Raw genomic sequence first — 19,543 nt, 5'->3', positions numbered from 1 at the left:
CAGCTCCATCTCAAAAAAAAAAAAAAAAAAAAGTAGATGCTGAATGAAAGGTAATGGAAAGTAGAAACTCCAGCTTCCTAGTGATAACACAGGGCAGCCTCTCTCATTAACTTCTTAAAGAGAGTTGTGTGATTTGTCAAAGAGAAAATCATTGGCTAGAGTGATTTGTGATATCTTTTTGTTTGTTTGTTTTTGAGACAGAGTCTCCCTCTGTCACCCAGGCTGGAGGGCAATGGCACGATTTCAGCTCACTGCAAACGCCGCCTCCCGGGTTCAAGCAATTCTCCTGCCTCAGCCTCCCAGGTAGCTGGGATTACAGGTGCCCACTACCATGTCTGGCTAATATTTGTATTTTTTAGTAGAGATGGGGTTTCACCATGTTGGTCAGGTTGGTCCTGAACTCCTGACCTCAGGTAATCCACCCGCCTCAGCCTCCCAAAGTGCTGGGATTACAGGCGTGAGCCACTGCACCCAGCCTGTGATATCTTGTATAGTTTCACACGTCAACTCTTGAAACTGTACAAAGACTAAGGAGAGAGAGATAATTAGTTCTGAAATAGAAAAGGGAAAATCCTTATCAGAGAACAAAAAGAGAATGGTTTTGGTACTTTTTATGAGATTAACATTCAGTAATGGTTAAGTTCCCCATGGCCAAATTAATTAGAATAAGGAGGCATTAATGAGACACATTTTGAATGTGATCCAGATACATCTTTCCCTTTGTGAATAAAAGGTGCTTTAGGGATAACTAAACCAAATTCTAAAACTACTTTTCTCTACTGTGTAGTAGAGATGATTTGGGCTAGAAGTTTACAGGATAAAAAGCCAGCCTTTAGTAAGTTAAAAAACACCTTAATTCTTGAAATGTATGAATGGAACTATTAACATATCCAGTACTCTAGCCAGGTGTGGTGGCTCACACCTGTAATCCCAGCACTTTGGGAGGCTGAAGAGGGAGAATGGCTTGAGCCCAGGATTTTCAGACCAGCCTGGGCAACATGGCAAGACCTCATCTCAACAAAAAAATATAAAACATTAAATATATATTTTAAATATTATATTAAAATATATAAAATATAAAATATAAAAAATTGGCCAGGCGCAATGGCTCACACCTGTAATCCCAGAAGTTTGGGAGGCCAAGGCAGGTGGATCACTTGAGGTCAGGAGTTCAAGACCATCCTGGCCAACATGGTGAAACCCTATCTCTACTAAAAATACAAAAATTAGCTGGGTTTGGTGGCTTCTGCCTATAGTCCCAGCTACTCAGGAGGCTGAGGCAGGAGAATCGCTTGAGCCTTCCAAAGTGCTGGGATTACAGGAGGCAGAGGCTGCAGTGAGCCAAGATCATACCACTGCACTCCAGCCTGGGCAACAGAGTGAGACTGTCTCAATCAATCAATCAATAAAAATAAATTAGCTGGGCATGGTGGCATGTGCCTATAGTTCCAGCTATTTGGAAAGCTGAGGTGGGAGGATCTATTGAGCCTGGAAGGTCAAGGCTGCAGTGAGCTGTGACTGCCACTGCACTCTGGGTGGCAGAGTGAGACCTTGTCTCAAAGCAAACAACAAGCCATCCAGTACTCACCAGCATCAATAACACACTCTACATTTTAAATATCTGGTATTTAAACAAGTGCAATCAACTCAAATTAGAATCATTATAAAATCATGACAAATCCCACAAGGAGATAATTGTGTGTGTGAATGTGTTGGAGGTGGAGGTGAGGGTCACAGGAAGAAAATTCTCTAGTTAGAGGTTTTTCAGCACTACCATCTTTTCATTTTTCCTTCAAAGATGGACTGGCCAGACAATATCTGAAAGAAATGTTGCCAGGCCTGGGGAAGTGTCTACTGCTGCCAGGACAGCATTAGAATAAACAAAAGAGGGCCGGGCCCCATGCATGCACATCTCTGGATTACTCATGCTCACTCCCAGGGCCTCTCCCTGGCACAGCTGTGAAGTAGGCAAAATTTATCTTTAGACTCTCCTACTTCCCCTTCTGGGTCTTGGTCCTCTCTCCTGGTTCCATCTGAGATACTCAATGCCTCGTGCTGTCCAGGGTAGCACCACACCCAGGCACCCACATTCCTCCTTGGAAGCTGACCTTGTCCCCAAAGCAAAGTTTCTTGCTCTCCTTCTCCTTCTCCGCAACCCTCCACTAAAGTTAAAGTTAAAATTTCCCCCCTCTCAGCTAATTGCCTGGCAGGAAAGTAATATAAATGAATTCATACCGGCATGTGAGTCACTAATATTCTTTATTCCTCCCATGTGTACTGGCATTTTAAAAGTTTGTTAAGACAGGGCCAGGCACGGTGGGTCACACTTGTAATCCCAGCACTTTAGGGGGCCAAGGCAGGTGGATCATGAGGTCAAGAGATCAAGACCATCCTGGCCAACATAGTGAAACCCCGTCTCTACTAAAAATACAAAAATTAGCTGGGTGTGGTGGTGGGCACCTGTAGTCCCAGCTACTCAGGAGGCTGAGGCAGGAGAATTGCTTGAACCTGAGAGGCAGAGGTTGCAGTGAGCCAAGATCACGCCACTGCATTCCAGCCAGGAGACAGAGGAAGACTCTGTCTCAAAAACAAACAAACAAACAAAATGTTTGTTAAGCTAAAGGAATGTTTCCTTTAGAAGGAAAACTCCATCTGTAGGATACCCAGCAAAAAAAATCTGGGGAGGCCTGAGTTTCCTCAAACCATCCAAAGGCCATGGAGCCAATAGAGTCATTCCCTAGACCAGGTCTCCTCACCCCTACTGCAGGCAAGTTCGTGACCCACATTGACTCTTGGGCAAAGGGCTGATGAAAAAACTGTAGCAAATGCATGGATTTTGAAAATGTATTAAAAAGTGAAATATAAATCTAAAAGGTTAGATTTAATTCTAACAGTTTTCTTTTCTCAATGTCAAATAAAACAGAATGATTAACAAGGATATCAAGACCATTCAATGGAGAAAAGGACAATCTTTTTCAACAAATGGTGGCGGGAAAACTGAATATTCACATGCAAAAGAATGCAACTGGAGCCATAGCTTACACCACATACAGAAATTAACTCAAAATGGATCAAAGACTCAAGTGTAAGAGTGAAAACTATAAAACTCTTGGAAGAAAACATAGGAGTAGGCTGGGCACAGTGGCTCACACCTACAATCCCAGCACTTTTAGAGGCTGAGGCAGGAGGATTTCTTGAGGCCAGGAATTCAAGACCAGTCTGAGCAACGTAGGAAGATACCATTGCTACAAAAGACAAAAAGTTAGCCAGGCACCGTGGTGGCAGGCGCCTGTAGTCCCAGCTACTAGGGAGGCTGAGGCAGGAGAATGGCGTGAACCCGGGAGGCGGAGCTTGCCGTGAGCCGAGATTGCGCCACTGCACTCCAGCCTGGGTGACAGAGCAAGACTCTGTCTCAAAAAAAAAAAAAAATTAGCCAGGCACAGTGATGCACACCTGTAGTCCCAGCTACTCAAGAGACTGAGGCAGGAGAATAAAACTTCATGCTATTATTGGATTTGGCAATAATTTCTTGGATATGGCACCAATAGCATGGGCAACAAAAGAAAAATAGCTAAACTGAACTTCATCAAACTGTAAACCTTTTAAAGGAAACTATCAACAGACTGAAAAGGCAACCCACAGAATGAGAGAAAATATTCACAAATTGGCTGGCCATGGTGGCTGACACCTGTAATCCCAGCACTTTGGGAGGCCGAGGTGGGAGGATCACTGAGCCCAGGTGTTCAAGACCATCCTGAGTAACATAGTGAGACCTCATCTCTGTGGAAAAAGTAAAAAAAGAAAATATTTGCAAACCATATATGATAAAGGATTAATATCCAGAATATATAAAGAACCCCTAGGATGGATATGGTGGCTTACACCTGTAATCTCAGCACTTTGAAGGCTGAGGTGGGGGGATCGCTTGAGCTCAGGAGTTTGAGACCAGCCTGGGCAATATGGTGAAACCCTGCCTCTACAAAAAATACAAAAATTAGCCAGACATGGTGGCACTCGCCTGCAGTCCCAGCTACTCAGGAGGCTGAGGTAGGAGGATTGTTTGAGCCCAGGAGGTGGAGGTTGCAGTGAGCCAAGATTGCATCACTGCACTCCAGCCTGGGTGACAGAGTGAGACGCTGTCTCAAAAATAAAACAAAGTAAAATAAAGGAAATTCTAACATATGCTAAAATGGGGATGAATCTTGAAGACATTATGCTAAATGAAATAAGCTAGTCACAAAAGGACAAATTTTTTTTTATTATTATTATACTTTAAGTTCTAGGGTACATGTGCTCAACGTGCAGGTTTGTTACATATGCATACATGTGCCATGTTGGTGTGCTGCACCCATTAACTCGTCATTTACATTAGGTATTTCTCCTAATGCTATCCCTCCCCCTGCCCCCCATCCCACAACAGGCCTCCGTGTGTGATGTTCCCCACCCTGTGTCCAAGTGTTCTCATTGTTCAATTCCCACCTATGAGTGAGAACATGGCAGTGTTTGGTTTTTTGTCCTTGCGATAGTTTGCTGAGAATGATGGTTTCCAGCTTCATCCATGTCCCTACAAAGGACATGAACTCATCAAAAGGACAAATACTATATGATTCCACTTCTATGAGGTGCCTAGAGTAATCAAATTCTGAGAGTCAGAACCTAGAATGGTGGATACCAGGAACTGGCAAGGAGAGAATGAGGGGTTACTGTTTAAGGGGTATAGAGTTTCAGTTTGGGGTGATGGGAAAGTTCTGGAGATAGTGGTGAATGTGACTGTACTGAATGGCATTGAATTGTACATTCAGAAAGGGTGAAAATTGTAAATTTTATGTTTTGTATATTTTAACACATACACATACACACACACACACACACTCACACACAAAACCTACGTGAGCTTTTAAGATAACTATCTCACCCCACAAGGTCAGGTTTATAATCTAAAATGCATTTTCAACTTTTTAATATCTAAAACTAATACAAGGTGATTTGATTAGTCCATTTTGACCCTAGAATATAAATCAAGACTTCCAAGTCTCTCTGGATCCAGTTTAACAGCAAATTGTTTGGCTGGGCTGCTAGAAGGCCTGGAAGCTCTGGCTGGCACCTGAAATAACTGGCCCAATGGCTGACCCTGCTGGCCCCAGCAGCACTAGTATCTACCCTTCAGAAGAGACATCATGGCCCTCGCATAGAAGCCCTGTGTTTATTACCTCCCAAGCACAAGTCTGAGAAATGCTTTTCCCCCTCTCAGATTAACTGCACCAGAGCCTTCATTCCCCATTTCTGCAGTGGAGAATCGTATTTAGTACATATGACAACGGCCTTCTCCTTCGCCACGCTTTGGTCAGACTCCTCTGAGTCCTCTTCTCAACCATGCCTGGACCTTGGCCCCTGTTGTTACCAGTTGAGGGTGTCCAGGCTCTTGCCGTTTTGAAAAAAGAAATGGACAAAACGCACAAACAAAGCCAGGAAAGAATGAAGCAACAAAAGCACACATCTAATGAAACAAAAGCACACTCCACAGGATGGGGGCTACCTGAACAAGGGGCTCAAGGGCGGGGTTACAGAATTCTGTGGGGTTTAAATACCCCCTAGAGGTTTCCCACTGGTTACTTGGTGTATGCCCTATGTAAATGAAGAGGCTGAAGTGAGGTTACAAAGTTATTTAGTTGGTGTACCTCCTATGCAAATGAAGAGGATGTTTCCTGTCGTAACTGAAGTAGAGTTACAAAGATATTTACTTGGTCTTAGAAAGCTGGGGTTTTTCTGTTGGATTTAGCTCTAGGAAATCCTTAGGTTCCCTGCCCCAGACCCTATTCGCCTGTCCTTGCTGGGTCTCCATAAACCCAGTTTTAGCAAGAATCCTGGAGAATCCCCACCCCTCAATATCTGATCAAGTTCCTCATCCCCGACCTTTGACATGTAAGTCCTCGACCTGTCTTCAGCAAGAATCCTACGTTATTAGTTTAGCAAGAATCCCCTTATCCTTGATATCTCTTAGTAATTTCCATCCATTGACCCCCTCACTCTGCTTCCTGGCCATAAAACCTCAGCTGTCTGGATTATATTCAGAGTTGAGCTCAATCTCTCTGTTTCAAAGCTCTTACTACAATTCTCCTGAACAAAGTCTGCCTTACTTTTTTTTTTTTTTTTTTTTTTTTTTTTGAGATGGAGTCTTGCTCTGTCGCCCAGGCTGCAATGCAGTGGCGTGATCTCCGTTCACTGCAAGCTCCGCCTCCCAGGTTCACACCATTCTCCTGCCTCAGCCTCCCGAGTAGCTGGGACTACAGGCGCCCGCCACCACGCCCGGCTAATTTTTTGTAGTTTTAGAAGAGACGGGGTTTCACCGTGTTAGCCAGGATGGTCTCAATCTCCTGACCTCGTGATCCGCCGCCTCGGCCTCCCAGTGCTGGGATTACTGGCATGAGCCACTGCGCCCGGCCTGCCTTACTATTTTAATAAGTGTGTCAGATTAGTTTTTTCTTTAATACACAGCAGGAACCTTGGAAGGCTTTAAAATGTTGGCATTTCAAAAGCAATAGTCCCATGGGAATCATAGTTACTGGCAAAGTAACCAATAATTTATCTGATCATCTAATTGCATTCTGGTAAATAAAATCCAACAGTATTTGTCCATAGAACCCATAGGTTCATGACCTTCTAAAAGCTAGAAAATTTAGTGATTATATCCAAGCCCTCCTGGGAGAATAGAAAAAAAATTATTCAGGCTGGGCACGATGACTCACACCTGTAATCCTAGCACTTTGGAGGCCGAGGCAGGCGGATCACCTGAGGTCAGGAGTTCGAGGGCAGCCTGCCCAAAATGGTGAAACCCCGTTTCTACTAAAAATACAAAAATTAGCTGGGCGTGGTGGCAGGCACCTGTAATCCCAGCTACTTGGGAGCCTGAAGCAAGAGAATCACTCGAACCGAAGAGGTGGAGGTTGCAGCGATCTGAAATTGCACCATTGCACTCCAGCCTGGGCGACACAGAGAGATTCCGTCTCAATAAATAAATACATTAATTAATTAATTAAATCAGGGATTTAAAAAACAATGCCTAAGGCTTGAAATCCTGTTGCAGGCAATCAAAACCCTACACCCATTTACTATCACCACCTGCCTACCCCACCCCAGGCCCAGTACCCTTTCAACCCTCGCCCCCACATACGGGCACACATGCTGCTCTTGTTAGACAGGTGAGGCGCAACAGTCCTCAGTTACCCGCATTTCCCTCCCACTCTGTAGGCTCCTTAGACATGTTCCTTGGTTTCTCAGGGCTGTGGCACCTGGCAGAGTCTGCAACCCACTCCAAGAAATTGGAGGGGGCTGCCGTCACTGTCGGTGACGTGGGAGGCCATTGAGACGCCGCCCTGTCTGTGCTTAAAAGAGAACACGCCCTGGTGGCTGGAGGGTGTCTGTCTGCATGACTCACTGGAGAAGCTGTCTCCTTGGGAGGAAGTGTGGAGCAGCCTCTCTAAATTTCATTTAGGTAAATTAAGGGGTGGAAAACCACTTGAAGTAGGAAGGCAAAGGCCAGAATTTATCCCTGGACATGCAACTGCTTTCTACATTTGGCCAGTACAGATTCATTCAGATGGAAACAATTTATTTCCTTCAAACCATGAGAAAGAAACATGCCTTTGTCCTCTGTCAAGGTGTCCAGGGAGTCACGGGTGGCTCTCATTAATGAAAATAACTGCTTTGCATTCACATCACACCTAATCTCCTGTAGGGTAAATAATGGAAAGTACTTTAGAAAAGTGCTTGGAAACCTCTTCTCTGCAGGTAGTATTAGCAGATCTCCCTTTGGCCCAAGGCCATTTGGGTTTCCAGGGAAGAGGCATTGATGGGATTAGGTAACCGGGCCATTTGTCTTCATTAACTTTATCACTAACTTCCTGACTCTGGTTATAGGCCCCACAATTAGTTTGTTTCTAAGGGAGAATCGTATTTAGGTTTTTCAATGGCAATTGTTTTATTCATTAAGTTTTCTAAGTAACACAAAAAAGCTTTCTTTTTCACAAAAGTAACATCTGCTACCTGGGGATTTCTGCCTGGTAATTAGCTAACTGGTAATAACCTAAATATGTACCCCCCTCATCAAATTCTAATATTTTTCCTGTTGTTTTTTCTTTTTTTTTAAAAAAAAAAAAACACTAAGCTATTTTCATTGGCCAAAAGAAAATGCCTTTAGTTTTTTTTTAATGCCTAATAATTCAGAATTCTCCTTAATCACGTTCTGTTCTGTTATCCAAAGACATATTTTCTAAAGTATGATGTGAACCATCTCTACATTCATCTGTAGCAAAAACATGCCAACACAATGAGTCAGCCAAAATGAAGATGTAATGTGATACACTATATGACTTCCATTTTTGGTCCAAAGAGTTCCATGACAGCAATTTCAACTGGACTATAAAATATATTGCAACCAGCACATAAAAATGTATTTCAGATGCAAGACCCCTTTCCTTAGTTATCTGTATTACATCATGTGATTGTTTCCAATTAACTATTCAATGTTATCTGTCTTCATGCATCTAATGGATTTTTCCCCCATCAAATGTTTTCAGATGAATAGTAATTTAATCAAATGTTCCCCTCTGTTTAAAAAAAAACAAAAAAAAAAAAAGCCAGAGCTTGTTATGGGCTAAATGTAGCTTAATTATATTTAGTTTTTTATAAAATACATTAGATAAGGCTTAAGAGAACATATTTTGGAAAAGCCTGTTGCCAGTGACTTCAATGTCTTCTCATTAATTTTTTAAAAACTGAAGCCCTTAGTTTTGTCTTATGTTATGGACTAATTAGCTGAAGAACAGATCTGGTTCTAATTCCCAAGTCCAGCTCTAATTCAGAATGAACTCTTTAGTCACTAAACCTCAGACGAAAAGTCTGTCGTACCCACTGACTGTGCCCAAGGCAAAGAGGAAAACCTAGATGAGGAAAGCGTAGTAGAGAACCATGGGGCCACGAGATTCATTTAGTCAGGCATCAGTAGGGTATATGTTTCATATCAAGGATCCTGTGCGATCCTAATGAAGTTCTAGTGGGGAAATTACATCTGATATTGATTTGACTCTGAGTTTTGTGAAAACTGCCTTTAACTGAACAATTTCCCTAGAAATTTTGCATCAAAATTGATGGCACCTGGAGCCGGGCGAGCCGGCAGGGGGGAGGGGTGGGGGGGGTGGGGTGGGGGGGCTCATGCCTGTAATCCCGGCACTTTGGGAGGCCGAAGTGGGTGGATCACCTGAGGTCAGGAGTTTGGGACCAGCCTGGCCAACATGGAGAAACCCCGTCTCTACTAAAAACACAAAAATTAGCCGGCCGTGGTGGCGCGTGCCTGTAATCACAGCTACTCGGGAGGCTGAGGCAGGAGAATCACTTGAACCCAGGAGGCAGAGGTTGCGGTGAGTTGAGGTTGTGCCATTGCACTCCAGCCTGGGCAACAAGAGCAAAACTCCGTCCCAAAAAAAAAAAAAATTGATGGCACCTATGTTATACAAGACAAGGGAAGGTCATGGAAATGTTCCAGATTAGAAAGACATGGTAACTTGATCTTATACCAAATAAAGGGGGAAAAATGCTTTAAAGGGTAATATTAGACTAATAGATACTATTGGAATACAGATTATGTCAATGTTAAAATTACTTTAGTTGTTAACTGTATTGGATTAGCAAGAGACTATCCTTATTCTTAAGAAATACACACCAAAGCATTTAGAGGAAAAGACTTGTAGTATATGCAACTGACTTTCAAATAATTCAGAAAAAGAAATATTGTAAGTTTCATACATGAGTATGTGCACAATGATCAAGTTAATGGGTAAACTAGGTGAAGCTGGGTAGAATATACAGGTTTTCTTTGTATTATTCTTGCAACTTTTATGTAAAATTATTTCCAAGTAAAAAGTAAAAAATCAATGACAAGTATAGTCTGATTAGGAGACTTTAAGTACAGCGGTTGACTGGCTAAGTTATTTCTCCTTTAAGATCTGTCACTTTTTCAAATTGATAACTAGTTAGTAGTTTCCTCAGAGGTTACTATAAAAATGATATAGCCCAGTGAAATATCTTACAGTCTTGTTATCCTTTATTGTAGTTTTTTTTTTTTTTTTTTTTTTTGAGACAGAGTCTTGCTCTGTCGCCCAGGCTGGAGGGCAGTGGCGTGATCTCGGCTCACTGCAAACTCTGCCTCCCGGCTTCACGCCATTCTCCTGCCTCAGCCTCCTGAGTAGCTGGGACTACAGGCGCCCGCCACCATGCCCAGCTAATTTTTTTGTATTTTTTAGTAGAGACAGGGTTTCACCGTGTTAGCCAGGATGGTCTCGATCTGACCTCGTGATCCGCCCGCCTCGGCCTCCCACAGTGCCGGGATTACAGGCGTGAGCCACCGCGCCCGGCTATTGTAGATTTCTCATACCTCTTAGCCAGGGTTCTGGAGAGAAACAGAACCAATAGGGGAGATACACACACACACACACACACACACACACACACACACACACACACACACGTACACAGATTGACTTTAAGGAATTGACTCACGTGGTTGTGGGGGCTGGCAAGTCTGAAATCTGAAGAGCAGACCAGCAGGCTGGAAATGCAGACAAGAGAGGCTGTTGCAGTCCGGAGAATTAATTCCACAGGGCAGCAGGCTGGAAGCTTGGGCAGGGTTTCCGTGTTGCAGTCTTGAGAATTCCTTATACTTTAGGGAGCCTCAGTCTTTGCTCTCAAGGTTTTCAACTAATTGAATGAGGCCCACCCATATTGCAGAGGGTCATCTTCTGTACTCCCTGCCTATTGATTTAAATGTTAATCATCTAAAACATACCGTCACAGCAGCATCTTGACTGGTGTTTCACCAAACAACTGGGCACTAGAACTTAGCTAAGCTGACATAGAAAATTAACTATCAGACTACTGGAAACAGGGTATTCAGGATCAGAGTGATTTAAGCCCTTGTAGGAAAATGGCAATAAAACCTAGCATGCTCCCTGCCTTCAAGAAAAGCAAACTCTAGGGACAAGCCTGTACCAAGTACACACGAAATAACTATATGACAATTTTAAATGACAGAACGAAACCCTCAATGCCAAGGGGCGGAGCACAGGGGTTCACAACAGGTGAGAAGGGTCGGGAAAGGGAGAGGGCTCAGACGCAAACGAGTAGGCAAGATTTAAGGATGAGAAGGCTTCCTTTGGGGGATGGGGCCACGGGTTCTTCCAGATGAACTCAATCAGCCCCTTACTCTATTCTTTTTACTTTCTCAAAGTATTAAACAAGCAAAGAAACATAACCCTCAGTAAGTAGCATTATGTTATAGGGTTTTATGCCCTACTAAATCAGCATCCTCAGTTCATAAATCCAGCAGATTTATAATGGAACTTTCATACTATAAAGGACTAGAAAATTGAGAGCCTGATTCATAATTTTCCGATTGTCTTAATTACTTAAATATGTAAAATTTTAGAAGCTTTGTTTGCCTTTAATAGGAATGTCATATAATTCAATTTTCTAATTCAGTATTTTTTACTCAATAAACGTTTTCAGACCTTTAAAACTTGTTATTACTTTGTCGTGGTTTTCTTAATTGAAAACTCAAGCATAATTTTAAAAGAGTCTAATCACTATATCTAATTACAAAAAAGCTAAGTAGTGACATTATTTAACTTAAATACAACTTTTTAAAATAATGACTCACAGATGGACAGGAAGCTGCCATTAGAACAGCTGGAGTTGAAAGATGCTTCTGCCATTACAGAAGCCCTCTTTAAAATCTCAGCTTAATGTATGTTAACTTTCCAATTGCATTTGTCAATTCAATTTTAAAATACCAGGAAAATTTTGGAATCTAGGCCTTTGACTGCTTTTTTTCTTTTTCTTTTCCTTTTTTTTTTGGTCAACAATAGCTCTTCCACAAGAAAAATAAAAAAAATATGTGCCTCTACAGAAGACAAACACCCTTTAAAATCTGGAGTAACTTCATACAAGTCAATGGGAGTATTGAGAAGTCTTCTTAAATTACTTTTGCATCTACAAATAGAGAAAAACCTTGCACTACCCCGTGCCTTGCCCATATTAAGTATTTACTCATTCAACAATCATTTATTATATGCCTGTCTGGATTACTTTCATCACCTGACGCTGTTCTTCCTCATTTCTATTACAGCCCCTTAAAATCAGGACTCTAGGGCCGGGGGCAATGGCTCACACCTCTAATCCCAGCATTTTGGGAAGCCAAGGCAGGAGCATCACTTGAGCCCAGGAGTTTGAGACCAGCCTGGCCAACACACTGGTAACTTCCCCCTGCCAGCCCCACACCCCATCTCTACTAAAATTAAAAAAAAAAAAAAAAAAATTGGCCAGGAACAGTGGCTCACACCTGTAATCCCAGCACTTTGGGAGGCTGAGGCGGGCAGATCACCTGAGGTCAGGAGTTCAAGACCAGCCTGGCCAACATGGTGAAACCCTGTCTCTACTAAAATTACAAAAATTAGCTGGGCATGGTTACAGGCGCCTGTAATCCCAGCTACTCCAGAGGCTGAGGCAGGAGAATAGCTTGAACTTGGGAGGCAGAGGTTGCAGTGAGTAGAGATCATGCCATTGCACTCCAGCCTGGGAGACAAGAGTGAAACTCTCTCTCAAAAAAAAAAAAAAAAAAAAAAAAAAAAATTAGCAGGTTATGGTGGTGTCCACCTCTGGTCTCAGTTACTTGGAAGCCTGAAGCAAAAGGCTCACTTGAGTCCAGGAGGTCAAGACTTACAGGGAGCCATGATCGTGCCAGTGCACTGCAGCCTGGGTGACAGAGTGAGACCTTGTCTCAAAAAATAATAATAATAAAATACAATTGCTTTCCGTGGTTCCCTATCACTGGCAAATTAAGTCTTTATATGTATATACATAAAAGATAATGTGTGTTGTGTGTCCATGTGACGTAAGCACTGGATTTCCAGAGAAGGCCCCTGAGGCCTTTTCAAGGCAGGATAGTATAGCATTTAGGTGCACAGACTATGGAGTTTGAATGCCTGAGTTCAAATCTCAAATTTATATCCCACCACACCCTCCTGCATCAGCTCCCCTGACAAATTCCGCCTCCCAGGCTTTCTGAACTGCTTGTCTTTCTCTGAGTAAGCTACGTGAACATGTTTGTGCCCTTACCCTTGGCTCTGCATGTCTCTTACTAGATATTTTTCCTCTAACTCTTAGTGGTCCTTCTTTGAGCACCTCCCCAGAACCTCTTAGGCTGTGGAGAGCACCAGGGCTCCCTCAAGCCAAGCACTTGCCTCACAGCTGCTTTTCTCCCCGTCTAGACCACGAGGACAGGTGGCACTCCCTCCGGTAAGTGTTCCCTCCTTGGGCAGGTCTCCCCTGACATTTCCAGACAGAAGCAGGGGCTCTTTCCCAGGTGATCTCTTGGAACCTCAAGCATATTTCTGTGTGTGTAGCAAGACTCTGTAATTATCTCTGTCTCCCACTGACACTGAGAGGGACTTTGTCTTATTCCACTTAGTAGCTTCAAGCACAAACATAGTTCTCAGAACACAGGGGGTGTCTGTGTTCAAATAGATAATTTGTCGAACAAATGGATACATATCTACAACATCTAAGAATACTTTTAAAATACAGAAGAGGAATCACAGAAAAATCAACCAAAAACGTCAAGTAAATTGTAGATTTCCCTAGGCAAGCTCTGGCCAAAGTTACACTATAATATTTATCTGAGATGCCTAGAATTCTGTTTTCTCATAATCTGCTTTTGTCTTCATCTCTAATTAAGCTAAATTTAAAATGATAAACTGGTAAGTTTATAATTTCACTATGTTTATAAACCACGAGTAGCTCTAAGAACTTTGAGAGAAAATAAAGCCTATTCATTGTTTACAATTTACAAGGCTAAGGCATAAAAATTTCCCTTTTATTTAACACACTTTTACAATATCTTGTTTAAAGGTGAATTATTTCACTATTAATGTCTTTAAATATAGTTACAAAACAAAGCACCCAGAGATAAACATAAGAAGTCTGCCTATAAACACACTGATGGCCGAAAATGGAATACAACTCAGTCCAAAGAAATCATTTTAAAAACAGCCACAAAGGAAATCTTAAACTGAAATCTATTCTTCAACAGCTACTCGAACGTACCAGGCAAACTAAGTGACGACTTAGTGATTTACCATCAAAGCATGGTATGTTGATAATACTGGAATGAACACAGACGTAAAGATAGATGCTCATGGTGTTAAAAGTAAATGCCCTTGGCTGCTGTCTGAGGCACTGTCACAGTCTACTATTTCTTAAATCTGATTTTTGTTTGTTTTGTTTTTTGTTTTTGAGGCAGTGTCTTGCTCTGTCACCCAGCCTGGAGTGCAGTGGCACAATCTCGGCTCACTGCAACCTCCACCTCCCAGGTTCAAGCAATTCTCCTGCCTCAGCCTCCTGAGTAGCTGGGACTACAGGCACACACCACCATGCCTGGCTAATTTTTTTGTATTTTTAGTAGAGACGGGGTTTCACCATGTTAGCCAGGATGGTCTCGATCCCCTGACCTCGTGATCTGCCCACCTCAGCCTCCCAAAGTGCTGGGATTACAGGCGTGAGCCACCGTGCCCGGCCTTAAATCTGTTTTTTTAAAGTCTCATGGTAGCCTCACCAACGTTTTTGTTTGAACTTTATCCTCTCTGCACTATGAATATTCCTGTTCTCCTTGGGTTGGATTTTCTCCACTTTTTGAAGAATGTCTTTATAATCTGCAGTAGCCTTCAAGAGCCAAAGTTAAGTATAGTAATGTTGGCCTAGCCGGCAATGTGGTAGGTATTTCTTTCTAGATGAAGAACCCTGTCTTGTGTCCCCTCGAATCACATCACGTAGGTAGCCATCTGTGTACTCTATCTACATTAAGGTAGGCCCCGGGTAGGGAAGAATAGGGAGACAATGCAGGAATTTAGACACTAGAGCTCTGCTAACAATTCCTTATGCATGACTGCTGCATCCTTCCAGAGGTGTTTGTGACTGAGACAAGACGGTATTTTAGGGGTTCAGTAGCAGTTTCTATGCCCCTAGATCTAACACTTAAGCAGTGTTTTCTCTGAGTAACTGTGTTAGTCTTTAGGCTGCTACCACAAAACACCATCAACTGGGTGGCTAATAAACAATAAACATTGATTTCTCACAGTTCTGAAGGCTGGGAAGTCTAAGATCAAGGTGCTGGCAGATGCAGTATCTGCTGAGGGCCTGCTGTCTGGTTCATAGATGGCATTTTCTAGTTGTGGCCTCATATGGTGGAAGGATTAAAATGAGTTCTCTGTGTCTCTTTTATTAGGGCACTAATCCCATTATAAGGGCAGCACTTTCATGACCTAATCACCTCCCAAAGGTCCCACCTCCTAATGCCATCACCTTGGGGATTAAGTTTTCAACATGTGAATTTGCAGGGGGTGGGGCACAAACATTCAGATCCTATCACTAAGAAAACAGAAGCAAACAGTGGCTTCTAAACTGATGGGATCTGGGTGCAAGCTTGTAAGACAAGGGCCCAGGAAGTTCCTGTTGTAGACATCCTCATGAAGGGACACAGCAGAAAAGCATTTCAGAATCAGAAGGGATTTTTTTTTTTTTTTTTTTTTTTGACAGGGTCTCACTCTCTCACCCAGGCTGGAGTGCAGTGGCATGATGATGGCTCACTGCAGCCTCAATCTCCACGGCTCAAGTGATCCTCCCACCTCAGCCTCCTGAGTAGCTGTGGCTACAGAGGCAATGCCACCACACCCGGCTAATTTTTAAATGTTTTGTAGTGATGGGGTTTCATTATGTTGCCTAGGTTGGTTTTGAACTCCTGGCCTTAAGCAATCCTTCCACTTTAGCCTCCCAAAGTGCTGGGATTACAGGCGTGAGCCACCACGCCTGGCCAGAAGGCATCTTAAACATATGGAAGTCATGTGACCCAGATTTTCCACTGCAAGCACAATTCCAAATATTCTTCCCCTCCATCAGACCATGAGCCATATAGGTCACCTGGGCTACCATCTTAATTTTATTATTATTTTTTGAGATTTAGTCTCACTCTGTCACCCAGGCTGGAGTGCAGAGTGCAATGGTGAGATCTCAGCTCACTGCAACCTCTGCTTCCCAGGTTCAAGTGATTCTCCTGCCTCAGCCTCCTCCCGAGTAGCTAGGATTACAGGCGCACACCACCATGCCCAGCTAATTTTTGTTTTTTTTTGTTTGTTTGTTTTTGAGATGGAGTCTCAGTCTGTCGCCCAGGCTGGAGTGCAGTGGCACGATCTCAGCTCACTGCAACCTCTGTCACTCGGGTTCAAGCAATTCTCCTGCCTCAGTCTCCCAAGTAGCTGGGATTACAGGTGCCTGCCACTGCACCTGGCTAATTTTTTTTTTTTTTTTTTTTTAAGTAGAGATGGAGTTTCACCATCTCGGCCAGGCTGGTCTTGAACTCCTGACCTTGTGATCCACCTGCTTTGGCCTCCCAAAGTGCTGGGATTACAGACGTGAGCCACTGTGCCCGGCCAATTTTTGTATTTTTAGTGGAGACAGGGTTTCACCATGTTGGCCAGGCTGGTCTTGAACTTCTGACCTCAAGTGATCCACCTGCCTCAGCCTCCCAAAGTGCTGAGATTACAGGCGTGAGCCACTGCGCCCAGCCCCATCTTAATTTTATAGGCAAAGAAACTGAGCATAAATAATTTGCCATTGTGGAAATGTGGATGGTGAAAGAAAAATATATTAAAACAAACATTTTTTAAAAAATTGTCAAATATCACACAAATAGTTAGTGCCAGATGGAAATGCTAAACTGTTACTTCCTAACTGTCCTTCTAACCAATCTCTAGGACACATGTGAAGGTCTCTTGCAGTGTAATTCTAGACTTTTTCACTACTTACACTGAATATGCATTTTATGATTTTCATCATTAAGAAGACAATCTGAATTTTAAAAAGAAGTTTCAGATGAACCAATATTTTCTCCTCCAAAAATGAATGAATGTTTTAAGTTTAGTATTGAGAGCTAGCAAGAGTCTAGTTTAAGTTGAGAGTCTTTTTAGTAACCGGTTTTAGGATAAACTAAGGAGAAGCTAACAAGACATCTGAATGTGTGAGCTTCACATTAGAGCACTTGATGAGTTATCATGCATACAATTAAGTTGTAATAATTGAGTCAATAATAAAAAAAAAAATCATAAAATAAGGCCAGGTGCAGTGACTCATGCACTTAGGGAGGCCAAGGCAGGAGGGTTGCTTGAGCCCAGGAGTTTGAGACCAGCATGGGCAACATGGCAAAACCCTGCCTCTACAAAAATACAAAAATTAGCTGGGCATGGCAGCACTCGCCTGTATTCCCAGCTACTGGGGAGGCTGAAGTGAGAGGATCGCTTGAGCTGGGGAGACTGAGGCTGCAGTGAGCTGAGATCGCACCACTGCACTCCAGCCTGGGCGACAGAGTAAGACCCTGTCTCAAAAAAAAAAAAAAAAAAAAAAATTCATAGAATAAAATGAATGAGGGAGAGGGAAAACCCTGAAGAAGAAAAGTGGATAATATATATATTCAGGGAGATTTGTTTAGACATGATTATTCACTGCTGTCTAAAATAAACTTTAGATTTTAGGGTTTTGAAGTTTTCTCAATCATAATCAAAGAGCGAAAAGGGAAAGCCAGTGAGACATAATGATTCTGACTCTAGGAAATGAAGCTGTGTGTAGCATTTCCTTCTCATTCTCACTGCCAGTCTAAGGGAGGAGAACGGGAAAGCTGAAAAACTCTCAGCCGCAGATGATTGAATGACAAGTTTCAGAATGATGGGTTTCAAAATCACTCCAAATGCTACTTATTTCATTTTAAAAATAACATTTTTTCTGTCTATAAAGTACTATTTATACTTCATAGAAAACTCGAAAAATAAAAGAAAGCTGAAAGAAGTAATAACTCATACTCTTCATATTCAGATAACCTTTGTTAATATTTGAATGTTTTTCATTCTTTTTCTCCAAATACTGTAATATTTTTATACAGCTAATACCATGCTAATAGATTTTAGTCTCCTAATTTAGGATAGTATTATGAATATTTTCCTATGTCATTTAAAATTATTTGCAAAAAGTTTGTAAATGGCTGTGAGATATCATAACCATACCCTAATTTATGTAATGATTTTCTTATTTACAAGTACCATATGTAATGATGTAGTCAATATCTTTGCACATAAGTTTTCCATATTTCTGTTTATTTCCTACGAGAGCAGACTAGAAGTTGAACTACTACGTCAGAGTTTGAAGAATTTAAGGTTCTTGATAACATCTGTCAGATTAACTTTCAGAATATTGTACTAATTTATGCTCCTACTGCCCGTGGGTGAAATGCCTGTCTTACCACTGACTCAGCATCTCTGAAAGATGACCACTTTATGGACATTTTTGCTCATCTGAAAGGGACAAGGGGAGACCGTGTTGCTATTCTAGTTTTTGATTCTTAGTGATTTTGAATAGATTTTCATGTAAGTATTACCAATTTTTATTTCCTTTTCAGCAAGTTATCTGTGTTCTTTAACCATTGGGAGTTTCTTTGGTAAAGTAATTTAGATGTACACATAATGATAGTCCATTATCTGTCATTACTATCTATTTTCATCTTAATTTGGAGAATCATTCTCTTTTAGAACTTTCTTTTTTTCTTTTTTTTTTTTGAGATGGAGTCTCGCTCTGTTGCCCAGGCTGGAGTGCAGTGGCACGATCTCGGCTCACTGCAAGCTCTGCCTTCCAGGTTCACGCCATTCTCCTGCCTCAGCCTCCCAAGTGGCTGGGACTACAGGTGCCTGCCCCACACCCAGCTAATTTTTTTTGTATTTTTAGTAGAGACGGGGTTTCACCGTGTTAGCCAGAATGGCCTCGATCTCCTGACCTCATGATCCGCCCACCTTGGCCTCCCAAAGTGCTGGGATTACAGGCGTGAGCCACTGCGCCCGGCCTCTTTTAGAACTTTCTAAGAAAATGTCATAAATCAATAAAATAAAATTTTAAACTTGTCACAACTGTGTAATACTGCTTGCAATAACTTTGGAATGACAATACTTTTTGTAAAATGATTCGTACATTAAACACTTTACCGAAAAAAGGCTTTAATCCTGGCTCTGCCTCAAACCAGAATTTTTATCTTAAAACAAAATTTCAATGAATCTTAGTTTATCTGTAAAATAAGATGGTTAATCTTTGAGTCCATCCAATTTAAAAACTAGGCAACTTGTGCTCACAAAAAACGATACACAGCACCACCTAGAGGTAAAAAGGAATACTTTTGTACATTTTTCATTTATTAAAAATGATTTTTTAGCCTTAACAATACAATATTAAGTCAATATATTTTATACTTGCAGAAAGTGCCTGGGTAAATATATGAGAATTGTAATAGGTCTATCACATCGGATAAAACTTTTAGAATGAATGTCACAGTTGTCAGGCCTCTGAGCCCAAGCTAAGCCATCATATCCACTGTGACCTGCACTTATATATCCAGATGGCCTGAAGC

At 42.0% G+C, this 19,543-nt stretch overlaps 1 long non-coding RNA gene across 2 annotated transcripts in view, besides 2 other annotated features; it reads right to left on the bottom strand.

The window, feature by feature from the left end:
* LOC105370500 (uncharacterized) overlaps positions 1-19,543 on the bottom strand; it is a 138,447-nt gene that overhangs the window by 87,192 nt on the left and 31,712 nt on the right. The gene's annotated exons all lie outside the window — the stretch shown is intronic.
* Positions 6,918-7,522: an enhancer, noted in NCBI's record as "NANOG-H3K27ac-H3K4me1 hESC enhancer chr14:53302239-53302843 (GRCh37/hg19 assembly coordinates)". NCBI's record gives its function as "activates a minimal SCP1, AML or CMV promoter by ChIP-STARR-seq in primed H9 embryonic stem cells {active_cell/tissue: H9 hESC(primed)}" and the evidence as "EXISTENCE:reporter gene assay evidence [ECO:0000049][PMID:30033119]".
* Positions 7,523-8,128: an enhancer, noted in NCBI's record as "OCT4-NANOG-H3K27ac-H3K4me1 hESC enhancer chr14:53301633-53302238 (GRCh37/hg19 assembly coordinates)". NCBI's record gives its function as "activates a minimal SCP1, AML or CMV promoter by ChIP-STARR-seq in naive H9 embryonic stem cells {active_cell/tissue: H9 hESC(naive)}" and the evidence as "EXISTENCE:reporter gene assay evidence [ECO:0000049][PMID:30033119]".

This window comes from Homo sapiens, chromosome 14 (assembly GCF_000001405.40).
Source record: "Homo sapiens chromosome 14, GRCh38.p14 Primary Assembly".
Taxonomy (NCBI): domain Eukaryota; kingdom Metazoa; phylum Chordata; class Mammalia; order Primates; family Hominidae; genus Homo; species Homo sapiens.
The sequence above is the reverse complement of the archived record's forward strand: the minus strand, read 5'-3'. Positions and strand labels throughout refer to the sequence as shown.